The 27,848-nt window shown below is 40.9% G+C and overlaps 1 protein-coding gene and 1 pseudogene across 6 annotated transcripts in view; both read right to left on the bottom strand.

Annotated features, from left to right (window-relative positions):
* Window positions 1-256: 256 nt before the first annotated feature.
* On the bottom strand, window positions 257-23,487 carry GOLGA6L9 (golgin A6 family like 9). Of its 5 annotated transcripts, none has more exons than XM_047432539.1 (9): window positions 20,618-23,487; window positions 19,945-20,042; window positions 19,335-19,430; window positions 6,513-7,580; window positions 5,761-5,848; window positions 4,808-5,376; window positions 4,481-4,541; window positions 3,341-3,443; window positions 257-3,131 (listed from the first exon to the last, which is right to left on the bottom strand). In XM_047432539.1, exons 6-9 carry the CDS (start codon window positions 5,333-5,335, stop codon window positions 2,999-3,001), a joined length of 825 nt encoding a protein of 274 aa, XP_047288495.1. In that variant the 5' UTR covers window positions 5,336-5,376; window positions 5,761-5,848; window positions 6,513-7,580; window positions 19,335-19,430; window positions 19,945-20,042; window positions 20,618-23,487; the 3' UTR covers window positions 257-2,998. The 5 variants fall into 5 exon arrangements, with proteins under 5 accessions (XP_047288495.1, NP_937824.3, XP_011519903.1 ...); NM_198181.4 differs by lacking the exons at window positions 19,335-19,430; window positions 19,945-20,042; window positions 20,618-23,487 and adding an exon at window positions 9,247-9,594 and having other exon boundaries at window positions 6,513-6,593; window positions 6,779-6,838; window positions 7,461-7,580; XM_011521601.3 differs by lacking the exons at window positions 19,335-19,430; window positions 19,945-20,042; window positions 20,618-23,487 and adding an exon at window positions 9,247-9,594 and having other exon boundaries at window positions 6,513-6,593; window positions 7,461-7,580.
* Window positions 23,488-23,798: 311 nt separating this feature from the next.
* The window catches only part of UBE2Q2P2 (UBE2Q2 pseudogene 2), a 60,476-nt pseudogene continuing 56,426 nt past the window's right edge, over window positions 23,799-27,848 (bottom strand). Inside the window, exon 5 of the transcript NR_004847.3 lies at window positions 23,799-24,809. The product of NR_004847.3 is annotated as a UBE2Q2 pseudogene 2 (transcript). The remainder of the gene's footprint in view (window positions 24,810-27,848) is intronic.

Raw genomic sequence — 27,848 nt, 5'->3', positions numbered from 1 at the left:
TAACTTTTCATAAAACTTTTTTTTTACTTTTTTTCCACAACTTTTTTTTGCCACTTTTCCACAGTATTTTTTTATCCTGTAACTTTTTCATCCCACAACTTTAATTCCTGTTAACTTTTTTAGTTTGTGTTCTTTTAATAAACACACTTACATAGTTACAATTTTGTAAGAATAAAAACCGATTACCTCATGCCAAGCATGCCGAGAATTTGCAGAGTCTCAATACCCAGTACTATAGTTTTCAAGACACACAAAATTTTTAGGCAAAACAGCACCTTGAAACAATTTAATAATGTATTACATTATAGTAGCATCACAGCAGCAGTCAATAATGCCACTTTAGACAAAAATCAGTATTTCCATTATGCATTCTGTGTATAAGAATTCATAAATCGGTAAAAGTCATTCTAAGAAAACTTGGCAAATACAGCTTTGGACTGGAATTGGCATTTCTTTGTCTACTTTTCCTTCCCCTAGATTCTTTGTTTTAAACTACAGTATTCATATTTTAAAATGTTTTAAATTATTTTAAGACGTTAATATAGCAGTTACATTTTTGAATAGTTATTTGAAAGTGACTGTAAGATAAAGTTTTAGAGAATCTATTATGGATAGGGTTGATTTACATTTTCACATTTTCTAAAAATCAGCTTTGGTTTTAGAACTGATTGTTTTTCATTTTGGGAAAACCTACCAGGTTTAATCAATTACTTTAAAAATAATTATCATATTTTGCAGTCTTTAAATAGGTGTTTTGATTCTTTACTCCCTACAGAAATTCAAATTTATTCAGTTGAAGTCACATTTTAAAATTCTATGTTCCTGCTGAACTCTAACCTTCTAATGTTGCCTTCTAAGCAAATTAAAGGCTGCCTTATACTGAATGAGGTAGAGAACAAATACTTGGCTGAATGAGGTACTGCAAAAGACTGCATGCACTTTGAAGAAAGACTTGTCATAGTTATTGTCATAGTTATTGTCATAGGATTTCCATTCTCTTTAGCTTTTTCTTAAACATATGACAAAATACCTACACAGAGAGTGGTATTTGAGTTAATATAGTACATTTATTTTTCAGACTGACATTCAGCTTAAATATGCCAGTATGTGATTTAATCCACAGGTACCTGATGAACACATTATTGTCAGATTGGTTACAGTTGCTAAATGCTATCTGAAGGTCATTCCTAGTCATTTATACGTGTCAGGGTAAAAGTGAAGCGATTTGAACTATAAAAATACCTTTGAAATAATTTATCAATGTATTAGGTAAGCTCAGTTTCAGAATGATAAACTGTTAGACCAAATAATGTGGCTAATTAACAGTGGTACGATTTCTAGCCTGAGGGTTTAAAATGGGCTTAAAGTAACTGTCTTTAAACTGAACTCAAAGAATGCAAAAGCGGCAAGTTCAGACAAGGCAAGAACAGGACCTTTAGTCCATTTTAAGCCATAAATATTACACAAAATATGCCTCTAACTGAAACTGAGAGGTATAAAAACATATTTCACTCTTTGTAAAGAACTTTGTGAGGAAATATAACTCTGTGATTGTATAGACACTTTCCTCATGACACTTTGACATTCACGAACAGTAGATTGTGCTGCAGTTTGTAAACGTTTTACGTTGCATAAACTGCTCCTTGATTTTCAAATGTAGTATAATACTGTCTACTAAAACTCCTTTTTGTTTCAACTAAGTACTCTCACATATATTAGTTTATAATAATGTTTGTTATTATTTTTAAAGTGTTCTCCATTCAAGGAAAAGAAGTAAATTCCTATGTCAGATGGTTGAAGACTAGCTATTAGCCAGAGAGGTCTAGATGGTAAAATCCATCTTCTAGCCTCAAATAAGCTCCATGAACACAGAGGAATGCCAGGTGTCACACAGCTTTCCTTCACTCGAATTCATTCTTGACTAGAGCCTGTATATGCCTGTTCCAGGGGCATTTAAACTCTTAAAGGATTTCTTCTGATCTTTACTAAATACATTAAGGAGAACGCCAACCAGTGCCCTTTTGTGTACTGGGACATGTAGTCATGTGATTAAAACAGGGAACATGAACTCTGACTTTAAAATGTATTGTAGATATAAATGCTCTCAGCTAGAAAAGGTTTTCCACATCCACAGTCATGATGGGAGCCTTTCATTCCTCAGAAATAATCCCTTTTCAGGTCATCAAAAAAGAGTACAACTGCCACAGCTCATGAGGCAGTATCTTCATGAGCCTAGAGCACATACAAATCCTAAGGGAACTACCGTAGTACAGCGCTCATTCTTGGCACCGGAACAAATGAAACATATTCTATCCTGCACACACCTGCCAAAGCAGGCCACTTTCCTCTTCTGGGAGATTTAAAAACCTCCCCAAAATGTTATTACTCCCATCCCCAATACACAGAAAAAGGGGGAAAGGCTGTTTCCAGAGGGCAAACCACATATTGAGCTAATGAAGAGCTCACTGTGATTAGGATTCGATCAAACATAACAGCAGAACATAAGGAAATTTTATCTGAATTCCGTAATGAATATACAGGCTGTACTAACATTAAAAAAGCATGGCAGCCTATCCCAAACCAGCAAGAACAGTTGTGTGCATACAGTGGGTCTTTGTGTGTTTGAACTCCCACCACATAAGGGCAAACTCGATATGCATGCTAACGTCCTATAATTATCAAATTAAAGAAATGCTAAAAGATGCCAGAGTGAACATGAGAGAAAGACCCACTCTCATTTAACTTTTTACAAATAAATTTAAATTATAAATTAGAAACAAAAATAAATTTAAACTATAAATTAGAAACACAAATAAATTTAAACTATAAATTAGAAACAAATAAATTTAAACTATAAATTAGAAACACAAATAAATTTAAACTATAAATTAGAAACACAAACATAAGTGGCTCTAACATTCAAATGAAGTAAATGAATTGTGTAGGATATTAACCCCTTAAATGTTTTGTTTTTTTTTTTCAATTTCTTGACCCGCTCTTAGATGATGGTGATGTTTAGCTCCCTGTTCTCGGCAGCCCGAAAAGAATGGCATGCAGCCTCTCCTGCTCCTCCTGCCGCCTCTCCTGTACCAACAGCTTCTCCACTCAAGCCTGGGTGCTCCTGGGGAGTCCTGCATTAGAGGAAGCAGCTGCTGGATCTGCTGTGCAGTGGGGTTGTCATGGGGGAGAACCCTCCCTGTCCTCTCCCGGTGCAGCCTCCATGCTATCAGTGAGGCTCAGCTCACTAAGATCTTCAGAGAGAGGGAGGGGGTGGGAATCTGGGCACAGTGCGAGCCTCCCCTGCTCCTGCCTGCCCACCCCGCCTGAGGGCTCTACTCACCACCCTGCTTGTCCGCACATCCAAGCTCCTTGTGGGACTGGGGCTCCAGCTACTGGTCTGGCTGCTGCTGCAGACTCGGAGCCTCTTGGCTCTTCAGCTCCACCTGCCGGAAGACCCTGGGCATGAGGACATGTGGTGGCTGGCTTCCAGATTCCTGGCCCATTAATAGGGTAGCGAGGGCACTGTGGGGCTCTGTGGCCTGCCCAGGCCCCTGGCCCCTTGCTCCAGGCCTAAGAGACTGTCTCCCTTGCTTAGAACCCCATGCCTCCTTCCCTAGCATCAAATCTCACGTCCTTTTTCCCAGCATGTAAACTGTAGGCCACAGACTGGTGGAAAAGCAGGCGGAGCCAACCACCATCTGCTAAGTGTGCTACATGCCTAATGTTTCCACGTATTACCTCATTTAATCCTCAGCACCTCTGCAAGGAAAAGGCTAACTTCCTTTTGAAGTTAAAGAAACAGAGACTTAGAGATGCAAAGTAGTTGAATTATGACCAGTGGAACCGAGGCCGGAATCCAGTTTGAATCTAAGGAGGCTTTTTTGTTTTTCTGTTTTGTTTTGTTTTGAGAGAGTGTCACTCTGTGTCCCAGGCTGCAGTGCAGTGGTGCAATCTCAGCTCACTGCAACCTTCATCTCCCGGGCTCAAGTGATTCTCGTGTCTCAGCCTCCTGAGTAGCTGGGATTACAGGCATGCACCACCAGGCCTGGCTAATTATTATTATTATTTTTAATTTTAGTAGAGATGAGCTTTCACCATGTTGGCCATGTTGGTCTCAAACTCCTGACCTCAAGTGATTGTCCTGCCTCAGCCTCCCAAAGTGCTGGGATTGCAGGCATGAGCCACCACACCCGACATAAGGAGCCTCTTATACCACTGTCTCTTCCTCTGTGATTGGGGGGCTCCATGCCTCTAGCTGGGATGATGATGTCCAGACCTGGGAGGACCCCAGGGCTACCCACCTCTAAAAGTCAGAGGGCAGGAAGCAAGAAACAGTCATAGGACTGCCCCGGAGGGTGCTGGGGTCACCTGTCCCCAGGCTGCAGCTGCCTGTGGCCTGGCACCTCCCCTCCCCAGAGGCTGGTGCCCGCCTCCCACATCTTCTTGGATGGGTCGGAGGTTACAGTCTCTTTCAGCTCACCCGACTTCTCCAGCTCCTTTACTTGCTGCTCCAACTGCAGTGTGCTCTTGTTCTCGTTGTTCTGGACAGAAAGAAGCAATCAGTGGCCACCCACTAAAACTGGAGACCCCAGAACTTAGTGTCTGCCTCCCATGGCACCGGGAAGGGTGGAGGCAGGTTAGAAAAATATCCCCTCTCTCCCACAGCCATCAGAGCAGGGCTCTGGCTCACAGATGCCTTTAGAAGTACCATTTCATGTGAAGGCTACAATGCCCCATTTTACAGGTGGGGAAACAAAGGCCTTGAGGGCTAGGGAAGAGGGCAGCCTCCCCAGGTGGGGCAACGCACCAGCTCCTCGAAGCCGCTGCGTGGCTCGGCCCGCTGCTCGTACAGGGCTTCCCACCCCAGCTCCAGCATCCTCTCCAGCTCCCGCAGCCTCTCCAGCTCCCGCAGAGTCTCCTGCTGCCACAGCCTCTCATCCTGTTGCCGAAGCCTCTCCTGCTCCAGGAGCTCCTCCACCTCGTCCAGCAGCCTCTCCCTCTCCAGCAGCCTCTCCTGCTCCTCCTGCCGCCTCTCCTGTTCTAACAGCTTCTCCACCTCTTCCAGCAGCCTCTCCTGCCCTGGCAGCTTCTCCTGTTCACACAGCCTCTCCTCCTGTTCACGTAGCCTCTCCTCCTGTTCACACAGCCTCTCCTCCTGTTCACACAGCCTCTCCTCCTGTTCACGTAGCCTCTCCTCCTGTTCACGTAGCCTCTCCTCCTGTCTCCTGTTCAGGAGACTCAACATCTGATTGTTTTCCACCTCAGCCTGGAGCTGTCTTCCCACACTCTCTAGCTCCTTCCTTAGGTGGTTGGTCTCATCTTGTAGCTGCTCCATCTTAGATGGCCCTGCTGGGGGCTGTGGGGCCAGGGGTTCAGCTGAGAAAGCAAGCAGAGAATAAGGGCCTCTGGATTCTCAAAAAAAAAAAAAAAAAATCCTCCCTTTGGTGCACAGCTCCTCCTCTCAGGCTTCCCAAACTTGGCCTCACTGCTAATGACTCCTCACACCCGGATGGTAGACAATCTTCCAAGTCACTTTCAGATAGAGAGCACTGTGGGTGGCTGACAATGGGCACTCCTCCCTCTTTACTGATGGGGACACTGAGGCTCATGGAGATGACAAGACTTGTCCTCCCCTGGCACAGACCTCTTTCCCTCTGCCTCAAAGCCCTTCCATCCACCCACCTCCCTGGGGCATTCTAAGTCACCCCCACAGCCCTCTAATGCCAGTCCAGCTGCCAGGTCATGCCAGCCCCATCTTACCCGTCTGGTTTTTGAGTTTGAACAAGCTCCTCCCAAGCTTCTGTACCAGATGTATCTCATGCTTCTTCTCCTCCTTAGATGTGCGAACCTGCCCAAAGCAAAGGGGGAAAAGGGTACTGGAGGGAGGGGCTGGTGAACGTCCAGAGACAGAGTTTGAGAAAGGCCCACCCCCCTTCTGCCAGTTTGTGATTTAGAAACGTGCATTCATTCAACAAACATTTACTGAGCATGTACAGGCCAGGTACAGTTCTTCATAGCAGAGATATAAAACAGCAAAGGACAGACAGGAGCCCTTCGCCCTGAGCTTTCCATTCTAGGGGCCTTTAAATCTCTGACTTTCAGAGCTAACCGAGACCTTTGATACTCTCTACCTCCTCCAGAAACACGAGCATAAAGAGGAGAGATGGCTTGTCCAGACTCAAAAAGCAAATTAGGGACTGAGGCAGGGCAGGAATATGGACCTCTGACAACCAGTCAGGCTAGTGCTTCCCAGAGAGGTGACAACCCCAGGGCATGTGTGGCAAGGACTAGAGCAGGGGTGTCTGGAGAAGAGAGAGTCAGCAAAGAGGGCAGTGCAGAAGAGCCATGCTGCATGTTCTGTGCTCTGGGGTCCCTCCAGGTGAGACCTGGGTGCCCAGCTCCCCATTTGCCCTTGGCATCAGGGGCCCCTAGCCCCTTTCTTCAGGGCCCCAAGAGGAAACTGGAGTCCAGGATTGACCAGCTGTAATCAGGGGACCCCACTGGACTCTTACCAGTGAATTGATGTTTTCAGTGAGTTGACTGATTATTGCGGAGCTTGAATCCAGGGCTACTGCTAGTTCTTGGTACTGGCTCTGAGGTGCATGCAGAGAGAAGGAGTTGGAGAAAGATTGTGGGGAGGGGTAGAGAGAATAATCATTAGGGCTGGTGGGGGTGTGTGGGCTGCCTCAGCTGGCAGAGGGGCAACAAGCCCCTGCTGTGGGAGGAGGTTGGAGGGCTGGCCTGCAGGGTCACTGCACCTCGGCCCAGGGCCTCTTACCTCCAGATCCTGCAGGGTAGTAGAGGATGCACGGCCCTCCCCGTAGATACCTGTTGCTGACTCCAAGAGATGAGAGTGCACATGGAGATGTTCTGTCCCCCCTCACTGTCTAAGCCCTCTGACTTCCTTTCTTCCCCCATCAACTGGCAAAAGCTTCTTTTCTGCCTATCTTGGAACCTTTTTCCCATAACTCCTTTGTGCCAACTTCTCTCGTGGTTCTTATCTCCCCACCATCCCACCCTGGGGCCCTTTCAGTGACTCCTAAAGGGACAGCCTGATGGCAAGTGGCTCTTCTCATTGGCCTGGCTTCCCCTTGAGACTGGGGATGAGGAAAATCAAACAGCAACGACCATTTCCTCGGTGTCCTGGGTGTTTGCAGCAGGCCATGTACTAAGGATTCACATAAAAGCAACAATAACGAATCTCATTTAAACTTCACAAATGGAAGTCAAAAAATACCACCTCTATTATACAGATGTGAAAAGAGAGGCCCAAAGACCTCAAGCAACTTGCCCTAAATCATATGCTAATCAATCCCTAATCAATTCTTAGCAGACGGAGAGGCAGGATTCAAATCCAGAATTCTTAACCAGTACCCAACAGTCCATCTACAATCTTAACAATTACCCTCTACTGCCCCTTGGGCTCCCTGTCCCCAGGAGCCTGGCCCGCCGAGACTCACATCCCCAGGTGAGTGGTAACCACCAGAAGTGAATGTGTCAGGGCTACTGCCATTGATTTTCTTTTTCCTGTTAGCTCCTGCTGGAATGCCAGGGCTCTTCCTCTGCCAATATGCTTTTAACTGTGGGAAAGAAGAGCAGTAACACTCATGAGAATGATCAGCCCCTACAGCCACATCCTCCTTTACAGTTTTGACAAAATACCCTTATATACCATCTGATGTAATGCCACCAACAACTGTACAAGGTGTTGTCACAATCACTTAGTGACTGAGAGGGATTGATATCATGGATAGAAAAAAAAAAAAAGAAAGATCAAAAAAGGCAATACTGGAACTTAAACTCAGTCCTCTGACTCCAAGCTCTGGGGTTTTGCCATGAATCAGCAGCTTCCAGGGACCAAAACCAGGGGCAGAGGTAGAAAAGCACACATTAAGCAGGCAGGAACTGTAGGCCGTGTGGTTTAGAGTCATACATCCTCACAGGTCTGCTAGCGTGAAGAAGCGTACCAGTACCTCTCACACTTTCATATCAATGTGTCCTCATGGCAGAAGGCAGCTTTTCTATTAAATCTGGGAATTTATCAGAAAGAGGACAACCCAAGCCTCATTTCAGAGCGAAGTCTGGTATACGCTTGGAAACCTATGTGTCTGTCATCCCTAAGTACATTAATGCATTTTCTCAAGAGAATCAAGGGAAAATGATGCTTCAGAAAGATGTCCCGCATTTATCCTGTGGCACTCAAAGTACCCCAGGTTGAGACGATATGAGGAAGATTCAAGCTGTCAAGTTCAGTTTCCCAAGATCTATTCCACAGAAGATGAGCAAATCTCACTTCAGAGGCCACTGACTGAAGGGCAGTCTGGTCCCAGAACCGTGGAGAACTCAGAAAAAAATGTTAAAGTCTCTCTGGAAAGTAGAAGCCTGGGAAAAAACCAAACCAAACCCATTCTCCCATTGCCACCCAGAGATACTGTGAACATTTTGAGCTCACAGGGGAAGTGTAGGCTTTTCCCACTGTCAATGTCTATGTTAAGGGAGTAAGGCAGCCTGAAACCTCTTGCTCCTAGGTCCCATAGTCTCCACTCCCCTTCCAGCTGGAAATTTGTGCTGCAACCAGAGGAACCAGAAATGGGGTGAGAAAACTTAGGGGACTGGGTTGTAAGATCAAAGGCCGGTCTTGCAGCAGTAATGACAGTTCCTAGGGGCACTGTGACATCATTGCATTCCACTCCTCCCAGGGGAGGGGACCACATCAGCGCGATGCCCGAGTCGCTGCTCCACGATGGGGGAGGGAAACACACGGTTTCGACCCAGGTCCTCAGAGACGCCAGCCCAAGAAGCCTAGGGAGGTCGAGCTTGGGGCAGCAGGAGGGGAGGGCAGAGTCTGCAGTAGGGAGCCCCGGGAGTCACCAGCCCAAAGCCACCCAGGGATGACTGGTGAGGGCAGGGCCTGGGGCTGGGGGACCCAGGTCCTGGGAGACGCAAGCCCAAAGAGCCCAGGGAGGTTGGGCTTGGGGTGGCAGGAGGTGAGGGCTGATTATGGAGCAGGGAGCCCCAGGAGTCACCTGCCCAAAGTCACCCTGGGGTGATTGGCAAGGGCAGGGACTGGGCTGCTTGCTGAAGGGGTGGGGCTGACTGACTAGGCTTTGGTTGGGGGAGCCCAGAGGGGCTGGGGTTGGGGGGCCCCATCTGGTATGCCTCAGGAGTGGTATGGACTCTGGCACCGGTCTTGTCATCGGAGGGGATCTGTGGCTGGGTTGGGGGCCATGACCTGGTGTGTTTTACCTTTTTCTTGGCTGCGGCCAATTTCCCCTGTTGTGTTTTTTCTGACATCGCGGGGTGGGGAGGGAGGCGGGGTTGGGGCCACATCAGCGAAATACCAGTGAGCACTGCTCAATGCCTCCAGTCACCTACCAGGCAGCTGTGCAACTGAGCCACAGGTGGCGTAACCAGGGCACCAATGGAACGCAGAATAGGGGCGTGGCCTTAATGTTCCAAGCCCATTGGTCAGTGAGAAAGATGAAAGGGAAAGGAGGCGTGGCCAGGCGCAGCATGTCCAGAGGGACCTGTAGCATCATAAGGAAAGCTGCCCATGCAACCGCTGTCCCCGCCCACTCAGAGAGAGGGGAGAGGCCGCCCACTCTGGGAGAGGGGAGGGGCTGGCTTTTGCTTTAAAAGCTTTAAAACTGTTAAAAATAAACTTTAAAAAATATATGTGTATATACTTTATATATGTGTGTCTGTGTGTATCTATGTGTTCCTCCAGAGCTGTCTTCATTATGCAGCTTCTATGCAAAGTCTATGATTTTGGCCTATATTTTTCATCTTCAAATGGAGCACAAGAATTACAAGTATTACCTTAACTGAGATATAGACCCTATAAAAATGGAAAATCCATAGCATTCTTGATGATTAATGAAGCTGACTATAGTATCCGACATTCCAATAACAGAGAATAATCACAACAATTTCTCTTTTTTGGAAAAATGTTTGTCTTATTCTCCTACATTATTGTTAAGATTTCTTTTAAAAACAAGAAACATGTCTAATATCTTTAAAAACACAAAGCTTTTGGGCCAGGTGCGGTGGCTCACCCCTGTAATGCCATCACTTTGGGAGGCCGAGGTGGGTGGATGACCTGAGGTCAGGAGTTCGAGACCAGCCTGGCCAACATGAAGAAACCCTGTCTCTACTAAAAATACAAAAACTAACCAGGTGTGGTGGTGGGTGCTTGTAATCCCAGCTATTTGGGAGGCTGAGGCAGGAGAATCACTTGAACCCAGGAGATGGAGGTTGCAGTGAGCCAAGCTCATGCCACTGCACTCCAGCCTGGGTGACAGAGCAAGACTCCATCTCAAAAGAAATAAAATAAAATAAAATAAGATACAAAATAAGTAGGAACACAAAACTTACAATTTAATAAGCACTTAAAGCTCTTTACTGGTTTAAAACAAATACAAGGCCCATTTTTCTAGAATCACCAGGCCACTCTAGGCCTTGCAAATGAAACTGAATTTCTCACTTGATACCTGGCTATGACTTGCAATCATGAAAACCAAGAATTGTGTTATGTCACTGTGTACTGCTTGTTACCTGAAATCCACACTAGGCTGGGATCAAGGGTTGAATCTTTCATGATTTTTCTCCATAACCTGTGTGCTTCTTATCCCAGACTGAACTAAGCTTTTTTCTAGAGTTCTACAATTTACACTTAATAGACAAGAGTGGTTCTCAAAATGTAGTCTATGGACTAGCAGCACCAGCAGCACCTGAGACCTTTTTATAAGTGCAAATTCTCAGGCCCCACCCTGGACCTGGTGAATCAGAAACTCTGGAGTAGGGTTCAGCAATCTGTGCTGCAGTAATCCCTCCAAGTGTTCAAGAACCTCTGGCATACAGCAGGTAGAAAAATGTGTTTCCTTCTGTAGGTCCAAAGCCAGGGTTACCATATGTTCTGCCTTGTTATGAAACAATGACATGCAATTAAAAGACAAGAATCTCCTTCCTACTCGCACCCTCCATCCAATGTGTTTTATTTGTATGAGTTCCATAAGAAAAACAAGCGGCAATCAGAGATTTAGTCTAAAAAGTATGTTTACAAGTGTCCGTTCTCATCCAGCCTGATCTCCTACAAAACCGTTTACATCCTCTTACATCTCAAGTTTTAAAAAAGTATCTTCACAATGTAAGACTCACGCACACTAGCAGTTCTATAATAAAACACCAAGTAGATCAGAATGTCCAACCTTACTAGAGAAGAAAAGTGGAATCATTGGCTATATTTTCAAATTGCATTCAACAGGAAATTTAAGTTTTGAATTTTTTTCACCTTTATACTTCCAAAGTAATAGAATTAAACCAGAATACGCCATTCTTTCAAAGCCTCTAGCCAGGCAAAGTTTTACTGTATTATTTCTTGCTTTCAATGGATATAAAGCAGATTCCTGGTAGGCACATTCTGTATACCTGCAAAGATGCAGAACTAAACAGTTCCATCTGTTCAATATTAAACCAAAAGTCCTGTAGACCTCGAATGGTGAGTGTAATACTTCAGCACTAGCCCAAAACCTCAAATATGAAAAGATACCAAGAACACCACTAGCAAACAAAACTAAACTCTCAGTCAGGAGCAGGAGCTGACACCTGTAATCCCAGCACTTTGGCAAGCCGAGGTGGGAGGATTACTTGAAGTCAGGAGTTCAAGACTAGCCTGGGCAGCATAAAGAATTCACATCTCCACAAAAATTTTTGAACATTAGCTGGGTGTGGTGGCACACAGCTGTAGTCCTAGCTACTTGGCAGGCTGAGGTGGGAAAATTGCTTGAGGCGAGGAGTTCAAGGCTGCAGTAGCTATGATTATGGCACTGCACTCCAGTCTGGGTGACACAGCGAGACTTAGATAATTACATTTTCTCCTGCTCCTGTTTACACTAAAATCACGAAGTTAAAAGGCTTTCAAATTTGGCAGGATAAAAATTAAGTGAAATGTGACTTTGGAGCTTGGCTAGTGAAAGAAAGAAAGAAAAAAAAGGGAAGAAGGAGGGAGGGAGGGAATAAAGAGAAAGAAAGGAAAGGAAGAAAGAGAGAGAGGGAAAGAAGAAAGAAAAAGAGAGAAAGAAAAAGAAAGAGGAAAGAAAGAGAGGGAGGGAGGGAGGGAAAAGAAAAGAAAGTAAGAATGGAAAGCAAGAAAGAAAAGGAAAGCAAGGAAGGAAGAAGAAGAAAGAAAGAAACAAGGAAAAGAAAGAAAGGGAAAGGAAAGGAAAAAGAAAAGAAGAAAAAATGAAATGACAAATTACTTACTGGGAGAAAGTTTTGTCACCTCAATGACAGATAAAAGGCTTGTATCCTTAGACTATAAAGAAATCTTTAAAATTACTGAGAAAAAAAAACAAATGATTTTCAACCGAAAATGGGCAATGGAGAAACTGGCACTTCTCACAAGAATAAAAATGGCCAGTGGCATATACAAAGATTCAAAAGCACAAGAAATCAAAGAAATGTCATGAAAACAATGAGATTTTCTGTATAAAGGCAGGAAAGATGACAAATGGAAAGGGGAACCTGGAGCTCTGTCCTTGTTGGTGGGAGTATAACCTGAGTCACTTTTCCTGGAGAATGATTTGAAAATTTCTATTAAAAACCCTAAAAATTATTTTCCTCCAGAAATTCTACTTCTATGAATTCAGTCCAAAAATGTTTGCTCGAGCCCATTAAAATGTGTGTATAAGAAAATTCACCTCTGGGGTGGCAGTGATTAACTTAATATACATCCAGCTATTAAAAATGATGATGCCAGGATATATTTACTGCCACAGAAATATGCCCAAAATATAGTAAGTGACAAAAGACTACATACTACGATTCTACTTTTTAAAAGGTTTATGTGCATAAAAACGTATAAAAAGCAACAAACCACAATGTTTTGAGTGGCAAATTAAAGATTTTTCTTAATATTTGTCATCCAAATTATTACAAAAAGAATGATTTCCTTTATAATGAGGGAGAATTGTTATTTTCATTTATTTATATTTAAATATCTTTTCTTTTTCTGATTTTGTTTTCTCCTGTATGTATCCCATGTAGGCTAGAATCCCTGCCTCTTGAGGTAAATCAGCCCATTTTTGGGAAGTGCGCTACAGAAAGCTGCCCCAGCTTCCTTTTAAGAGATCTGGAGACATTTTTTATTTCAAATTGTTTTATCGTTCTCAGATTATTTTGTTTAATATATGAAATTGAGGAAAAGACAAAGGAAAGGCTGACTCCCTACCCTCCTGGGGCTACTCTTCCAATTTTTGCTGCTATTGTTATATATTAATATTCACTGGGTACTAAAAAGATGGGCAGCCCCTTAGATCATTTGTTCTTATCTCTTTCTCATAATCCTACTTCATTCCTTCATTCACTTATTTTTAAAAAGGTCATGTGTACAAACACATGGTTCAGAAAATTTTTAAATATAACTACCTATAAAAGTATGTGGCCAAATCCCATTCACAGTCTTATTCTCCTTCTACAGCCAAACACTTTTAATTGGTTTCTTATATATCATTTCAGAATTTATGTTTGCAAATACACACGTATATTCTTATTCTACTCTTCTCTCTCAACACAAAAAGTAGCATACCATACATACTATACCATTCCTTGTTCCTCTTAAAACACACACAATATATGTGAGTTCTTCTACATGAGTACAGAGGTCTTTGTCATTCTTCTTTACAACCGCACAGTATTCATCGTTTGGATGTACCACAGTTTACTTAACCAGTTCCCTGTTGGTGGACACTGAAGTCATCCCTATCATACTATTACAAACAATAATGCCAAGCATAACCACCCACATACCAAGTTCATTTCTGAATCTGCCTTTGATGAAGCCTCTATTTGAATCACCACAAGGTCACAAGGCTGAAAAGTTAGCCAATTTTTTAGTTTTCATTATGTACAGCAGTATGTAGCAAAAGACTCCCTTGGGCAAAGCAAATGTGCTCTTTGGGGATTTACTGCATAACAATAAATGGATTAACACCAAGGAGAAATATTTCTATTTAACCATGCACATGTATGTATATAATACATGCATATGCATAGATAGTATACAATAAATCCATCAAAGCATTAAGCATTGTCTCAGTATGGTGGATCTATGGAGTGCTTTGTAGACAGCCCTCCTTGCCTATCAATTCTTTCTAGTTTCAAAACAGTGAATATGTACTATTTTTGCAATATAAAATTTCAATAAATGTTAACTCAAGCCAGGTACATTCCTTCAGTCTGTCCTATATTTGTATGGTGCTCCAGAGTGCTCAAATATCATTTCATTAAAAAAATTTACTTATTTTTTTTCAAATATAGAAACAGGCAGGGCTTTGCTCTGTTGACCAGGCTGGTCTTGAACTCCTAGATCCTCCTGGATCCTCCCACTTCCACCTCCCAAAGTGCCGGTATTACAAGTGGGAGCCATCCGGCCCGGCCGGCTTCATTTGAGAAATATTTCCCCAGAACTCCATATATTATGAATAATTCCTTTCTTCTTGTTTAGATACCATCTTAGTCATATCTCTGTTACCTCACTTGTCACATGATAATCAGTTGCTCACCCATCCATCTCCCTTGATTGCTCGAGAAGAGTCTGATTTTCAGCACCTTGAACAGTGTGCAATACATACATGCTTCATACGCAGAGAAGGAAATGATATCACTACAGTGTAATTATTCCCAGAATTCAATGCCCGTATTTGTAAATTGTTCCAGATACTCTGCCAACAACCTGAGAATGTTATGTGTTTTCCCTAAAACTTCCATCGATTACTGAGTGTCTACGGTCATAGTTAACTCAGTTGCGATCTGACCTCTGGCCAAGCCCATTCATAGCTTGTATTATAGGTGATTTTTAATTTTAATTTTTGATTTTGATAGTTTCCTTTTTGTTTTTTTAATCTAGCAGTGTTTGGTAAACTTCAACATCTCTATATCCCTGTGTCTTTGCACCTACTGGTCTCTGCTTGGAATAATAGCTCAAGGTTTTATTCACCTGGAAAAAATTTCTACTTACCCTTAAAGAATCAGCTTAAATAAGCCGGGCATGGTGGCTCATGCCTATAATCCCAGCACTCTGGGAGGCCAAGGTGGGCGGATCACCTCAGATCAGTAGTTTGAGACTAGCCTGGCCAACATGGTGAAACCTCGTCTTTACTAAAAATACAAAAAATAGCTGGGTGTGGTGGTGGATGCCTGTAATCCCAGCTACTCGGGAGACTGAGGCAGAAGAATCACTTGAACCTGGTAAGCAGAGGTTGCAGTGAGCTGAGATCACGCCATTGCACTCCATCTTGGGCGAGAGAGCAAGACTTCATCTCAAAAACAAAAACAAAATCAGCTTAAATAATACCGTCTCTGAGAAGCCTTTATATCTTCCTATTCTTTCAGAAAGAGTTGAAAATTCCTCAACTCTTAAAACATTTGTGCCTCTATTATTATGTATCAGGCACTGAACTGAGTGCCTAGGAGAGAAAGATGAAACTGTAGACCCTGCCCTCATGGAGTTCATGGTCTAGTATGGAAAACAGCCATATGAACAAATAACCATACTGTAGGTCTTCAGAGCTCAAACCCTATCCTAAATACTGCTAAATTAATATTCTGTGAGGTTTTGAAATTACTAGGGCCAGAGACAATATCGCTGTTTGGATGACTTTCCATCCAAGTTAACATTCGGCCCTCATCATCAAAGGTGGTATGTGTGTACCTCTTCCTTGCAACCCACCAGGGCCTAACACATCATATACCCACTTTTGAAATTAGGAAACAGCCTCAGAAGTCCAAGAGCTTGACCAAAGTAACTCAGCTGGTAGGTAGCAGAACCAGGTCGGTATGATTCTTCTTCAATATCCTCCAAGTTATATGGGCAAGTGGCCTCAAAATCAACAAAAGACAAGTAGAGGTTGACATGCATTAATGGAGAGAGGCTCAAAAGGAAGAGTTTATACACAAGAATAGAACAGAAATGTTCCAGAAGTATGTCTGGGGATGTGAAGTAGGAGGGGGCACACCAGGTTTCACCTTGGTCAAGTGAATCTATAATTCCAACCTGGGCCTCACCCCTGAGCTCCAGACTTAGCTATCTGTTTTTCTCACTCTAATATAAAATCCATAGGGCAGGACTTAATCTCTAGGTTGTTCATCACAAATTAAAGCAGAGTCTGGTTTATAGTAAGTACTTAATAAATAAGTAAACAAACTATCAAAGAAGCTAAAGAAACATTCTACACTCTTGGGGGAAGGGATTACCATGAAATGCCATCTGTCTTTTTCCTACTTTTCAGTATTTGGGGTGTTCTTCATTGAAAAAGATTAGCTTCTTGAATGTTCCAGATAGGAAGAGAGAGGGAGAGGGAGAGAGACAGGAACAGAGAGAAGTTTCATATTTTAACTATGGTTCAATTCTAAGCATTCTAAAATTGTATTGAGTTTTTTATACCATGAATTACAAGGGTGTTTAATTTCCAAATTCATGTAGCTTTTTGTTAATCTCTTCATTATTGCCTTCTAACCTTAATTGCTTCATATTTAAATTATAAATTATATGGTGTGGATGGTACCAATTGTTTTTAAATCTTCTGACTTGCTTTACGAATTAATATATAATTAATGTTTCTCCCACAGTCCACATATGCTTGAGAAGAATATAGAATATCTAATTATTGGGTACAAAGGCCTATATTTGTCCATTACACCATGTCCATTCACTGGTTATTCAAATCTACATATGGGCATTCTGTGTAACTTACTTATGGTAAGCAGGGTATGGTGAAATCTCCAAATATGCTGGCAGACTTGTCAATTTCTCCCTGTGGTTTTATCAGTTTTTCTCCTGCATTTTGAGGCTATTTTGACAGGTACATAAAATATGAAAATTGCTACATCCTCCTAATTAACAGTCAGCATCAAGTTTCTTACTAATGCTTTCTGTTCCAAAATCCTTTTTTGATACTGAAGCTCCATCACTTGTTTTTGGTTAATGTATACTGCCATATCTTCATTACTCTCTCTCCTTTATAAAAACTTTCAATCTTCTCATATCCTTATATTTTAAATATGATGGATTAAAACAGCTGGATATTCTTTTATTAGTTCCACCTAACTGGTAACTTTAGTCCATTTACATTTGTTGTGACTGATTTATGTGGACTTCCTTCTATTGCCTTTAGAACTTCTATTTCTCTCACTTTCTAATATAATTTTAATATCTCCTCCTGGGATTCCACTAAGACATATTTTAGACCTCATTCTGATCTCCCTCCCCCTACAACCCCACCAACTTCTGCCCTATCATCTATCCTCATGTCTCTCTGTGTAACATACTGACTCACTTTTGGGAGATAATTGTCTAACCAACTAATTCTTTCTTCTGATGTCTAATCCATCCACTGAGTTTTTTATTTCAACAATTACATTTTTTATTTCTTTATTTCATTTTATTCTGAGACGGAGTCTCACTCTGTCACCCAGGCTGGACTGCAGTGGCATGCACGTGCAGCCCTTGCCTCCTGAGCTCAAGTGATCCTCCCTCCTCAGCCTCCTGACTAGCTGTGACTACAGACACGTGCCCCATACCCAGCTACTTTTTTTTTTTTTTTTTTTTTGGTGGTGTTGGGGTATTTTTTACAGAAACGAGTTCTCACCATGTTGCCCAGGCTTGTCTCCCCAACTCCTGGGCTCATACCATCCTCCCACCTCGGCCTCCCAAACAGTGCTGGGATTACAGGTGTGAGCCACCAGACCCAGCTATATATTTTATTTCTGTAAGTTCTAGTTCATCCATTTTCTTTTCAGGTCCTCCTCCTCATTCCTGGTGGCCTTTCTGTTGCTCAATTTAATGAGTCCATCTTTCTTTTATATTAGGTTTGACATGTAACTATTTTCTCACAATTCTAATATTTGAAGTCTGTGTTCTGTATCTGATAATTCCAAAACCTAGTCTTTGGGAAACATATTCATTGTTTCTAACAATTCTCAAATATGTTGGGTTGAGACTACTTGAATGCTATGATTTGACTGAATTCATATTTGCCTGCTTTTAATCTTTGGGAATCCTACAGGCTTAAGTTAGAGATGTTTTCCTACAAAAAGTATCTGTGTCTGCTTCTGATGAGAGCTGTGGGTACAACTAACATGAGACCACTTTACCACCATGCATAATCCTGACATCCTCTTGGATTCTCTTGGAGCATCTCAGCATTACACAAGGTTCTCAGATCTGGCTCCCCACCCTTGCTCATTTATACACAGAAGACTAGACTGCTTAGCATAGGTGGTGACTCACTTCCTGCTACCCTGGAAAAAACAAAACGGATCTCTCATCTGAATGTGATCACAGACTAGGAAATTCTGAAGGTGAATAACTAGAGGCTGTGGGCAGCAGGCAAAGATAGGTGTCTTTCCTGACCATAGAAATAGGTCAGAAGCTGCCCTAAAGGCTGTGTGCTACAGCATTTCACTATTTAGCTCAACTACCATTCCCTCCATAAGTGTGAGTGGAAGTTTCTTAGAGCACCATATTGCCTTTAAACAAAACCAAATTTTTGCTCAAAAGTCATGGTCATGGAAAACAAAACAAAACAAAACAAAAAAAACCCCTCTGGCTTTGGAAGGCTTTCTCAGTAATGTCCTGGAATTACGGTTACAGCCTGCATTTCATGTTAACTGAACAGAAAACCAGCCTCCAACATCCTTCTGCCCCGTGGCTTGCTCTCAGCTCCTCTTGGTTGGGCCTAGGGCAGTCAGACTGTCTGGTTCCAATCCTTGCTCTGCCACCTGTGACTTTGGACAAGTTACCTACCTTCAGTTGCCTCATCCATAAAATGCAGATATTAATAATACCCTCTTTTAAAGTTATTAAGAGGACTGAAAGAGCTAATAAAAAGTAAAAAATAAAAAGACTTGGTAAGCATAGGCACAGAGGGAAACAAAAAAAGTAAAAATAAGTAAATAAAAAGACTAGTGCCTAGCACATAAAAGTTCATCAGGAATTAATTTTATAACATGAACTCAATTTTGCAAAACTTCAAAGTACATATAACTTTTACTATGGTATACATAACAATAATAAATTTACAACTGTAGACATGTTTCTCTACAGTAAATATAACAAAGACTAAACAATCAGATACTAAATCATTAAGTGATTATCAGTTAGTAACTTTAATTTTCTTATACTTCTATATGTTCTATAGATCATCTTTGTAACAAAAAGAAAACAAACCAAATGAAAATGAAATGAATTCTCTCAAAAAGAATTAAGATAGGAAGAAGGCTCACAAAGTAGCATAAAATATATCTTATGGTTTATGTAAAATTCTTAATAAAATTACCTTCTTTGCTCCAAGCTGCACTCTGGCTTTGCCTTTGACTCAGGTGGCTTTTATTTGCATGATGACTGATTCTATCGAGTAGGCACTGCTTCAGCCCTACAGGAAGAACAAAACATCTCTAGAACACAGCAGCGTTCCTGGTTCCCACTTGAGAAGGCCTAACCAAATGGCATATAACTTAACAGTAGCAGACCAGTGTTAAAAAGTCTGGAGTCAAGGGGAAAAGGTAAAATTGGAACGTTTCCAGAATCTCACAAAAAAACAACAAACCAATGTTCTAAGTGCCCAACATGAACAAATTAAAACCTTAAATAAAGGTCACTGTTAACGCCTATCCTAGCATAAATTCAGCACCAAGCACAATGTTATTTTACTGGTTTGCCTTTTTCATTCTGTTTTTTTTGTTTTGTTTTGTTTTGTTTTTTTGAGATGGAGTCTTGCTCTGTCACCCAGGCTGGAGTGCGGTGGCACCATCTCAGCTCACTGCAAGCTCTGCCTCCCGGGTTCACACAATTCTCCTGCCTCAGCCTCCCGGGTAGCTGGGACTACAGTCACCCGCCATCACGCCCGGCTATTTTTTTTGTATTTTTTAGTAGAGACGGGGTTTCACCGTGTTAGCCAGGATGGTCTCGATCTCTTGACCTCGTGATCCGCCTGCCTCAGCCTCCCAAACTGCTGGGATACCTTTTTCATTCTTGAAAGTAGGAGCTACGAAAAAAAAAAAAAACACTAAAATGTCTTTAAGAGAACCGTCTACTTACGATCTAACTTACATAATCAAAACACTCTATTGAGGGTGAAAATTGAGTATAATAATAAAATAATCACCAGAGGTTCCATACATAATGCTCCTCCACCCAATACATACCTTAAAAAGAAAAAAGGAAACATACAAAATTATCTTGAGAAGTATTCCTGCTTAAACAATTTCCATGTGGCATTATTAAGAAAGTATGCACACAGTAAAGACAAGAAGAGAACACGTAAGCATGAACATACTTGTTAGGCATATAGGATTATAGGTAATTTAAAAATTCTAATGGTATTACTCTTATGAAATTGCTCTGAAATTCCAGTCAATTGTTTGAAATGGCAATCAGAACAGAATACTTTGAAATTTTTATGATGTCAAAAACTAAAAACGTGGCCCTAAATATTCCAAAGAATCAGGGCAGAAGAACCCATTTCCTTAAATGGCATTTGAGTGTTCTTTACAATGGAAACTTTCTCTCCCAACCTGTGATGGCCAGGAGTTTTTCCTCTGACAATGGCACCGATCTTACCCTATTCAAAATATGAACATCTGCACGGTTTCATGGTTGAAATTGTTCTTATCCATTCTGTTGTGAGAATCGAATGGTTCACACCATGTGGCTCCTCTCTGGGACTCCTCAAGTCCTTTCTAGGTCTGAAGACTGTTCTCTGAACCAAAGACAACTTCTGGGGATGTACCAAATCTCCCATTAGAAAATTATTTAGATCAAGATGTTTTAACCTTTTAATTCTTTCTCAAACAAAATAATTTCATTTCTCCTTTAATGTTATTTTAAATTTCAAAATACACAGATAGCATGCCTAAAGTAAAATCAAGGGAATGATAGTTTTAGAACAAAAACTGTGGTAATTTTGAAAGCACAAAAGCTAAGACCACTGATTAGATCTATGTGGACACCAAGTCCACCACAAACGGTTCTGTCCTCCGGGGCTCTGCCCACACCTTTCCCTTGCTTGAGATTCCTTCTGCTTCCTACCCTTCCAAATGCTGTATTTCCCCCCAGAAGACTTGCCAAGACCACTCTAGCCTGCGCATCTTCCATTCCAGCTAACCAAAGGCATCCTTGCATTGACTAAACCAAATTATTTTGCAGAGAAGGCATCTAAAAACTTCTACTGTAGACCATTCACCTTAATAATTGTTTTCATGACATTATTCAATAATAAAATGAGGGAAAGAAGCCCTCTTTAACTCCCTTGCCCTGGAGAATCCAAGCAAGTGTCTTTCCCACTTGCTTTGCCCAAACCCTGGGAGCTTTCAAAGTGAAAGTTTAATGGAAGGAAAAGAAAATCTAAAAGAAAAACTCTCCGAAAAATTAAACTCAGGTAAAGAATCATGGGATTACAAATTTTTATTCTTTGTGTATTTGATTTCTGAAACATTTGAAATCTCTCTCTCACTCCTTAAATCTGCCACTGGGCTAAGAGAGTATTGTATATAATGTGCACTCATTGATTTAACAGAATTAGAACATCCAGGCACTCACTCAGATTTTGGTTCCACAACTGCTCAAAGTCTAGTCATTTAGTTAATGAGTTAACACCACACTTGATCTTCAAATTTTGGAGATGCTGATGGTAGACAGGAACTTGTTTTGGGAAAAGGAAGTATATGGCAGACATTGTCACCCATTATCCAACCAACACCACCTTTCCTTTAAAGTACCCCACTCTTCCTTTAAGGTTGCAGAGTCTCAGAAAGTAGGAAGAAAGTTTTTGCATTTTCAGGTCAAAAGACAGTACATTTGTACAACTGCATAATACCTATGCAAATGTTTGTTGAAATCTAAACAGAAGACAGAAGTAGTTCTAGTACCTTCACTACATAAGTAAGATAAGTAAACTTTTCCTTAATATACACTTCCAGCAGCACTGACACCTAAAAGTGGTCGACTCTACTACTGTATTAAATGACATTCATTTCGTCAATATGTGTTCCAAATTCTTACTGCTCTTTGTCTCCAAAGGGTTCCTACTGAATATTGAGACAGTTCAAGAATACTAGGGAAAAAAATTCTAATAATTGAAGTAACGGTCATCTAAGGATAATATGCCACATATACAGACACAGTAATATTTTCAACTTAAAAAAAATTCAGTTGTCAAAGCTGTACAGCAAACACTATCCTAAGCTTGGCCTCTTCAGGCATTTGCTTTATAATCACTTCAAAGAAAAGTCAATTACAAAATGCCACATTTTGTATGATTCTATTTATATGAAATGTCCAGGATAGGCAAATCTACAGAGACAGAAATTAGATCAGAGGTCGCCAGGATCAACGGTGGGGGAGACGAGTATACAGAGTGACTGCTAATGGGCATGGGGTTTCTTTCTGGGGAGAAGAAAAGGTTCTGAAATTAGGTAGTGGTAATGGCTGCATAACTCTGAATATACTAAAAACCACCAAACTGTACACTTCAAAGAGTGAGACTTATCATATAAAAGCTGTATCACAATAGTTTAAAAAATGTTTGGGTATGTCAAGAAATAAAGGATAGAATCATAGCTCAAAGATATGGACATAAAATAAATGGAACAAAACTCCTCAGTAATCTATCTAGAATCACACAATGCTTAAGCTTTACCCTGACTAAAATCACAAGCCTGGTGTTTTATTGGTATTTCACATTTTTCACTTCTTCCTAAGTCAGCCAATAATTTCTCCTTAATAGTTGACTATTAAGACCAAGGCATTTTGATTCTGCCTCCAATGGGCTTTCACATTTCATTCCTCCTTCCACTCCCATGACTACCACACCAATGTAGGTTCTCCTCACTTCACTCTAAGACAACAGCGGTGCCCTCAACTACTGTCACACTCTTCTAGGCTCTGTGAGCACAATGTGTCTCATATTCTCTTCTGCTGTCACCAGATTTATTCTAAAACAGTTTCTTTACTGTTACTCCCCTGTTTCTCAACCAGCTACACAGAAAGATGAATATCCAGGGGTAATAGTTTACTTACCTGAAAAAAAAAATCTGTCACCAATCCACAGAACTGTTTGAGTACAAAATATTACATCAGCAATATTTCCTACAACTCTTCTACATGAATCCTACCCTCCTTGTGTTATAGCTCAAATTGGTTTCGTATACTCTGAACCCCTCATTCTTTCCTAGATACCTGATTGCGCTTACTCTTCACCTATGTAAATAATTTTCCTGCAACCTCCACCAGCTGACCAAACCCCACTCACATTTCACTGCCCAGCTGAGATCCCATCTACTTCATGAAGAGCAACTCTTTGCAGCTTTAAATCTCAGAGAAATTAAGTCCATGCTTAGCTTTTCTTTTTCTTTTTTGTTCAGATGGAGTTTATCTTTGTCACCCAGGCTGGAGCGCAGTGGCACGATCTCAGCTCACTGCAACCTCTGCCTCCCGAGTTCAAGCGATTCTCCTGACTCAGCCTCCTGAGTAGCTGGGATTACCAGTATGCACCACCACATCTGGCAAATTTTTTGTATTTTTGGTAGAGACAGGGGTTTCACCATCTTGGCCAGGCTGGTCTTGAACTCCTGACCTCAAGTGATCCACCCGCCTCAGCCTCCCAAAGTGCTGGGATTATAGGTGTGTGCCACCGTGCCTGGCCCATGGTTAGCATATGATAATCAATGGAGTACTTACAGTTCTTAGTACTTTTAATCTCCTCTTACATAGCTGGCATTTCGTATAATGAAAAACACTTTACTAGGAATCAGAAGATTTATTTGGCTAAGTCACAAGCTGACTTATTATTCAAATTATTCATCCAAATAATGAGGACCATAACACACTGTGGCAAAAAAGAATCAATGAAGAAACTATGTAACAGATTTTAAAACTGAAAATGGCATGATTCATAACTTCATGTATTTGTCTCGATTCTAGGTGGTATACTAAGATCATAAACTTACATTCTTGGGATTCTTACAACAAAATGTTGAAAAGCTATACTGGTCTATTTCATAATCACATTTTAAAATGTTTTCATACATTTATCCTGAATTTGCAGATTTTTATCCAAATCTTTTCTTTGATCTTTTTTTTTCTCAAATAAGATTCTGAACAAAACATGACCCGTTTTCCTTTCCCTATGCTTATGGGGATATTGAGTCAACATACACAATTTTATAAACCAGCACATAAAACTAAAGCACAATACTTATGTCCTTTCTCCCCAATCAGTAAGGGCTTCATTAAAAAGACATTTTAACATTCAACTATGAAAAACAAAAGAACTATGGCTTGGTGGCTAGTAAAAAGCCTGCTGTAGTGAGCAAAGGTTAAACATTTACTATTTTTCAGTCTTGTGTTTATTTTGTATACGTAAGTATTTGGCTGGGTTACTTAACACTGAACTTCCAAAACTGACCATTAGGTTGTATGCCAAGAGAAGTACTTTTTATAGCAATTTTACTGCCAAAACCAAAACAGCCTAGAGAAGCTTTAAAGGTAACAAAATAGTACACAATTCTAAACAACTCTGCTTCACACCCAACCTGGGACTTCCACTCACCGTAATAGTATATTCGTGATCAACTTTGTAACAAGCTGTCAAAGGGAGACCTCTAACATCTGCTCACGAAGGAATCACTTCAGCATGTCCTGCTCTGCAGCAGAAAACGCATGGGGATCACTCAGAACTCCGGATTTCCAACAGAGCAGCATTTCCCAGAGAGTAAGCCAGAGGACACCATCCTCTGAGATGCTGTCAGGAACACTAATAAACAAATTTGGGAAAAACAGAAAATGGCATTAAGGCTCCAAGAAGTCCTTTGGTAAAAGACATTTTGAACCTGGTTCCCCAAAACCTTGCAATCCCCACAAAACAAATATCTATTACCATACCACTATATTAGCACTCACAGAACATTTGGGAAGATATGGCAAAGATTAGGCTGCAGGCGTCGGGTAAGTAGACTCTTAAAACACAATATTGAAAAAATAGAAATTTAAAAATTAAAACAGAAAAGCAAAAGATAAGTAAATAAATAAAAAATTTTAACAAACAACATTGGGCTGGGCAAAGTGGCTCAGACCCATAATCCTAATACTTTGTCAGTCTCAGTGGGGTGGATCGCTTTAGCCTGGGAGTTCGAGACCAACATGAGCAACATGGTGAAACCCTGTCTCTATCAAAAATACAAAAATTAGCTTGGTGTGCTGGCATATGCCTGCAGTCCCAGCTTCTCAGGAGGCTGAGGTGGCAGGATGGCTTGAGCCCGGGAGGCAGAGGTTGCAGTGAGCTGTGATTGCACCACTCACTCCAGCCTGGGGCAACAGACAAAGACCCTGTCTCAATAAAATTAAGTAATTAAATAATAAAACCAATATTCCTTTACTGTGTGGGGAAACTCAAAATGAGCTCAGCACATCCACATGTAATACTAAGGTTTTTTTTTTTTTAAACCCACACTTCTTGTTTCTCTGAACTTTTACACATGGATATCATGTCCAGACAACTATTCCGTAGTATCAGCACCACAGTTAATATGTATTCTGATTATGCAGAATGATTCTTAACAGGATCTTAGCCCCCAAAACACATACATAAGTATGTAAAGCAAATACAACTAAAAATAACTGTAGCAACAAAGCTCTTCTGGAGAAAGTTCTGAAGTGTGAAGTAGTCACTCATATTTTTACCCTAAATGCAACTATTACTATCTCAACCATAGAAATGATCAAAGTAAGGGCTGGAGATATTTAGATTTTAATCACCATAATGTGGATTATGTCACATAATGGAATTAGTCAGCTGAGTGTTTGAAAATCCTCAAGTTACTTTAAATTGCTCATACTTTGAGGGTCTACAGAACATTTCATAACTAACCTAGCAAACTGTGATCTTTTCCCCACTTCTGTAAGACTTCCAATCACAAAAAAGAAGCAATACAAATTTCAGTAAAACTGCATGACAATTACCATTTGATTCTACTACACTGCAACTATCACCTCTAGAAGTAATTAGCCAGCTCCATAGGTCCATGGGATTTCCCATGATTATTCCTAGAAGTACTAATTAGGATTACAGGTATGTGGGGGGACCACTCTGTAATCATAACATTCTCTAAACCTTCAATCACAATTTACATTTGAAAAACCTTTGGTTTTTATGATAAAAAAGTATGTATGAATATATATATGTGTGTGTGTATGTATAAATATGTGTGTGTGTGTATATATGTGTATATATGCATATATATAACACTAAAATCTCTACCTATCAACAACATAATGCTTTATAACCAGTGGTTCCAGATGTAGGCCCCAGAACAACAGTATCAGTTTCACCTGGGAACTTCTTAAAAACGTAAATGCTCAGGCAACACCACAGGCCTACTTAATCAGAAACCCTGGGACTAGCTCTCCAAATGATTCTGGTGCACGCTATATTAAAAAAAAAAACGTAGCCCAGGCACAGCAGCTCATGCCTGTCATCCCAGCACCTTGGGAGGGCAAGGTGGGAGGATCACTTGAGCCCAGGAGTTCAAGAACAGCCAGAGCAACATAGTGAGACCTCATCTCTACAAAAAATTTTTTTAAACTAAAAAAAAAAAAAAAAAAAAAAAAACATTTAAAGTAATCACTTAAACTTATGCTCCTGAGAGAACAGGTAATACCACTCAAACAAATGGAGGCTCAAATGGAAAGTTATCCTAAAAAGCAAATAAGCAAGTTTAATTAATTTTAAGAACATCGTTAATACTATATACCATTTAGAAGATTTTAAAAGTCTATAAAAGAATATGTACATTTATTATCAGATAATGGGTGAGAGTCATAAAAGTAAAATTAGTACAGAAAAAATGAAATGAAAACCAAAGCAAATAAAAATGAAGTTAAAATGAGGCCCAAACAGAACAGTGTTATGGTAAACTTATGAAACATATGAAGGGGTTTCACTTCACTAGAACTATATAAAGGAACCATTCCAATAATGATAGAGTAGGTAACTTAGATCAATCCTCTCACTGAGAACTAGAAAGATGGACAAAATGTAATGATTACAGGGCTGAGAAAAGGGAATAGCAGAGAACAGGGTCTTCTTTTCTCCCCCTTGGGTTTTCTTCCAATGACAGCAGAGAAGAAGAGGTTAACAAGCTGAGCTAGAACTCACAGCCTCACAGAGCTCACAGGGAGTTAAACATTGGAGCTCAGCATCCACTGAGGAGAGGCCCTGCTAAGTCTCCCACTCCTTAGGTTGGGAATCTGAAGAACAAACTGCAAAATGCCCCAACAGGGAATGATGGCCAGCTTTAATCGTCTCAATCCCTGATTGTGAATTTCCAAGACCCTAGCAGGGGAAATGTAAATCCTCTCTGGAGAAGAATATCATCCAAGGCTTCAAATTAGCTCTGCAATTTTTCATATATAATGTCTATCACTAAAAATAAAAAGCCACATGAGACTTAAAGATGACATAACAGAAAACAAGAGAAGCAAACAACAGACACAAAACCACAAGGGATTGAGATAACAGAGTTAGCAGACACACTTCAAAATAACTCTGCTGAAAGACAAGGAAAGACAGGACAAGACTGAAAACCTGGCAGAGAAATGCAAATTATAAAATGAACCATATGAAATTCTGCAATTTAGAACTACCAAAACTGAAATTAATAACATAATGGATAAGCTTAACCACAGCAGTAACCTAGCAGAAGACAGATTCAGTAAACCGGAAAAAGGTCAGAAAGACAAAAAGGTAGAAAATTGAGAAAATAAGACAATATATTGAAAAGTTTATCATATATGT

The sequence above is a fragment of the Homo sapiens genome, chromosome 15 (genome assembly GCF_000001405.40).
Source record: "Homo sapiens chromosome 15, GRCh38.p14 Primary Assembly".
Lineage (NCBI taxonomy): Eukaryota > Metazoa > Chordata > Mammalia > Primates > Hominidae > Homo > Homo sapiens.
This window is presented reverse-complemented; position numbering and strand designations above follow the sequence as displayed.

Excerpts from the sequence above, each read along its gene's own strand:
- GOLGA6L9 (NM_198181.4), bottom strand. The coding sequence starts at position 9,330 with ATGTGGCCCCAACCCCGCCTCCCTCCCCACCCCGCGATGTCAGAAAAA. Across the intron at positions 5,377-5,760 it reads CAAACTCAAAAACCAGACGG|CTGAACCCCTGGCCCCACAG; the intron begins GTAAGATGGGGC and ends TTGCTTTCTCAG. Across the intron at positions 4,542-4,807 it reads GCAGCGGCTTCGAGGAGCTG|AACAACGAGAACAAGAGCAC; the intron begins GTGCGTTGCCCC and ends CTTTCTGTCCAG.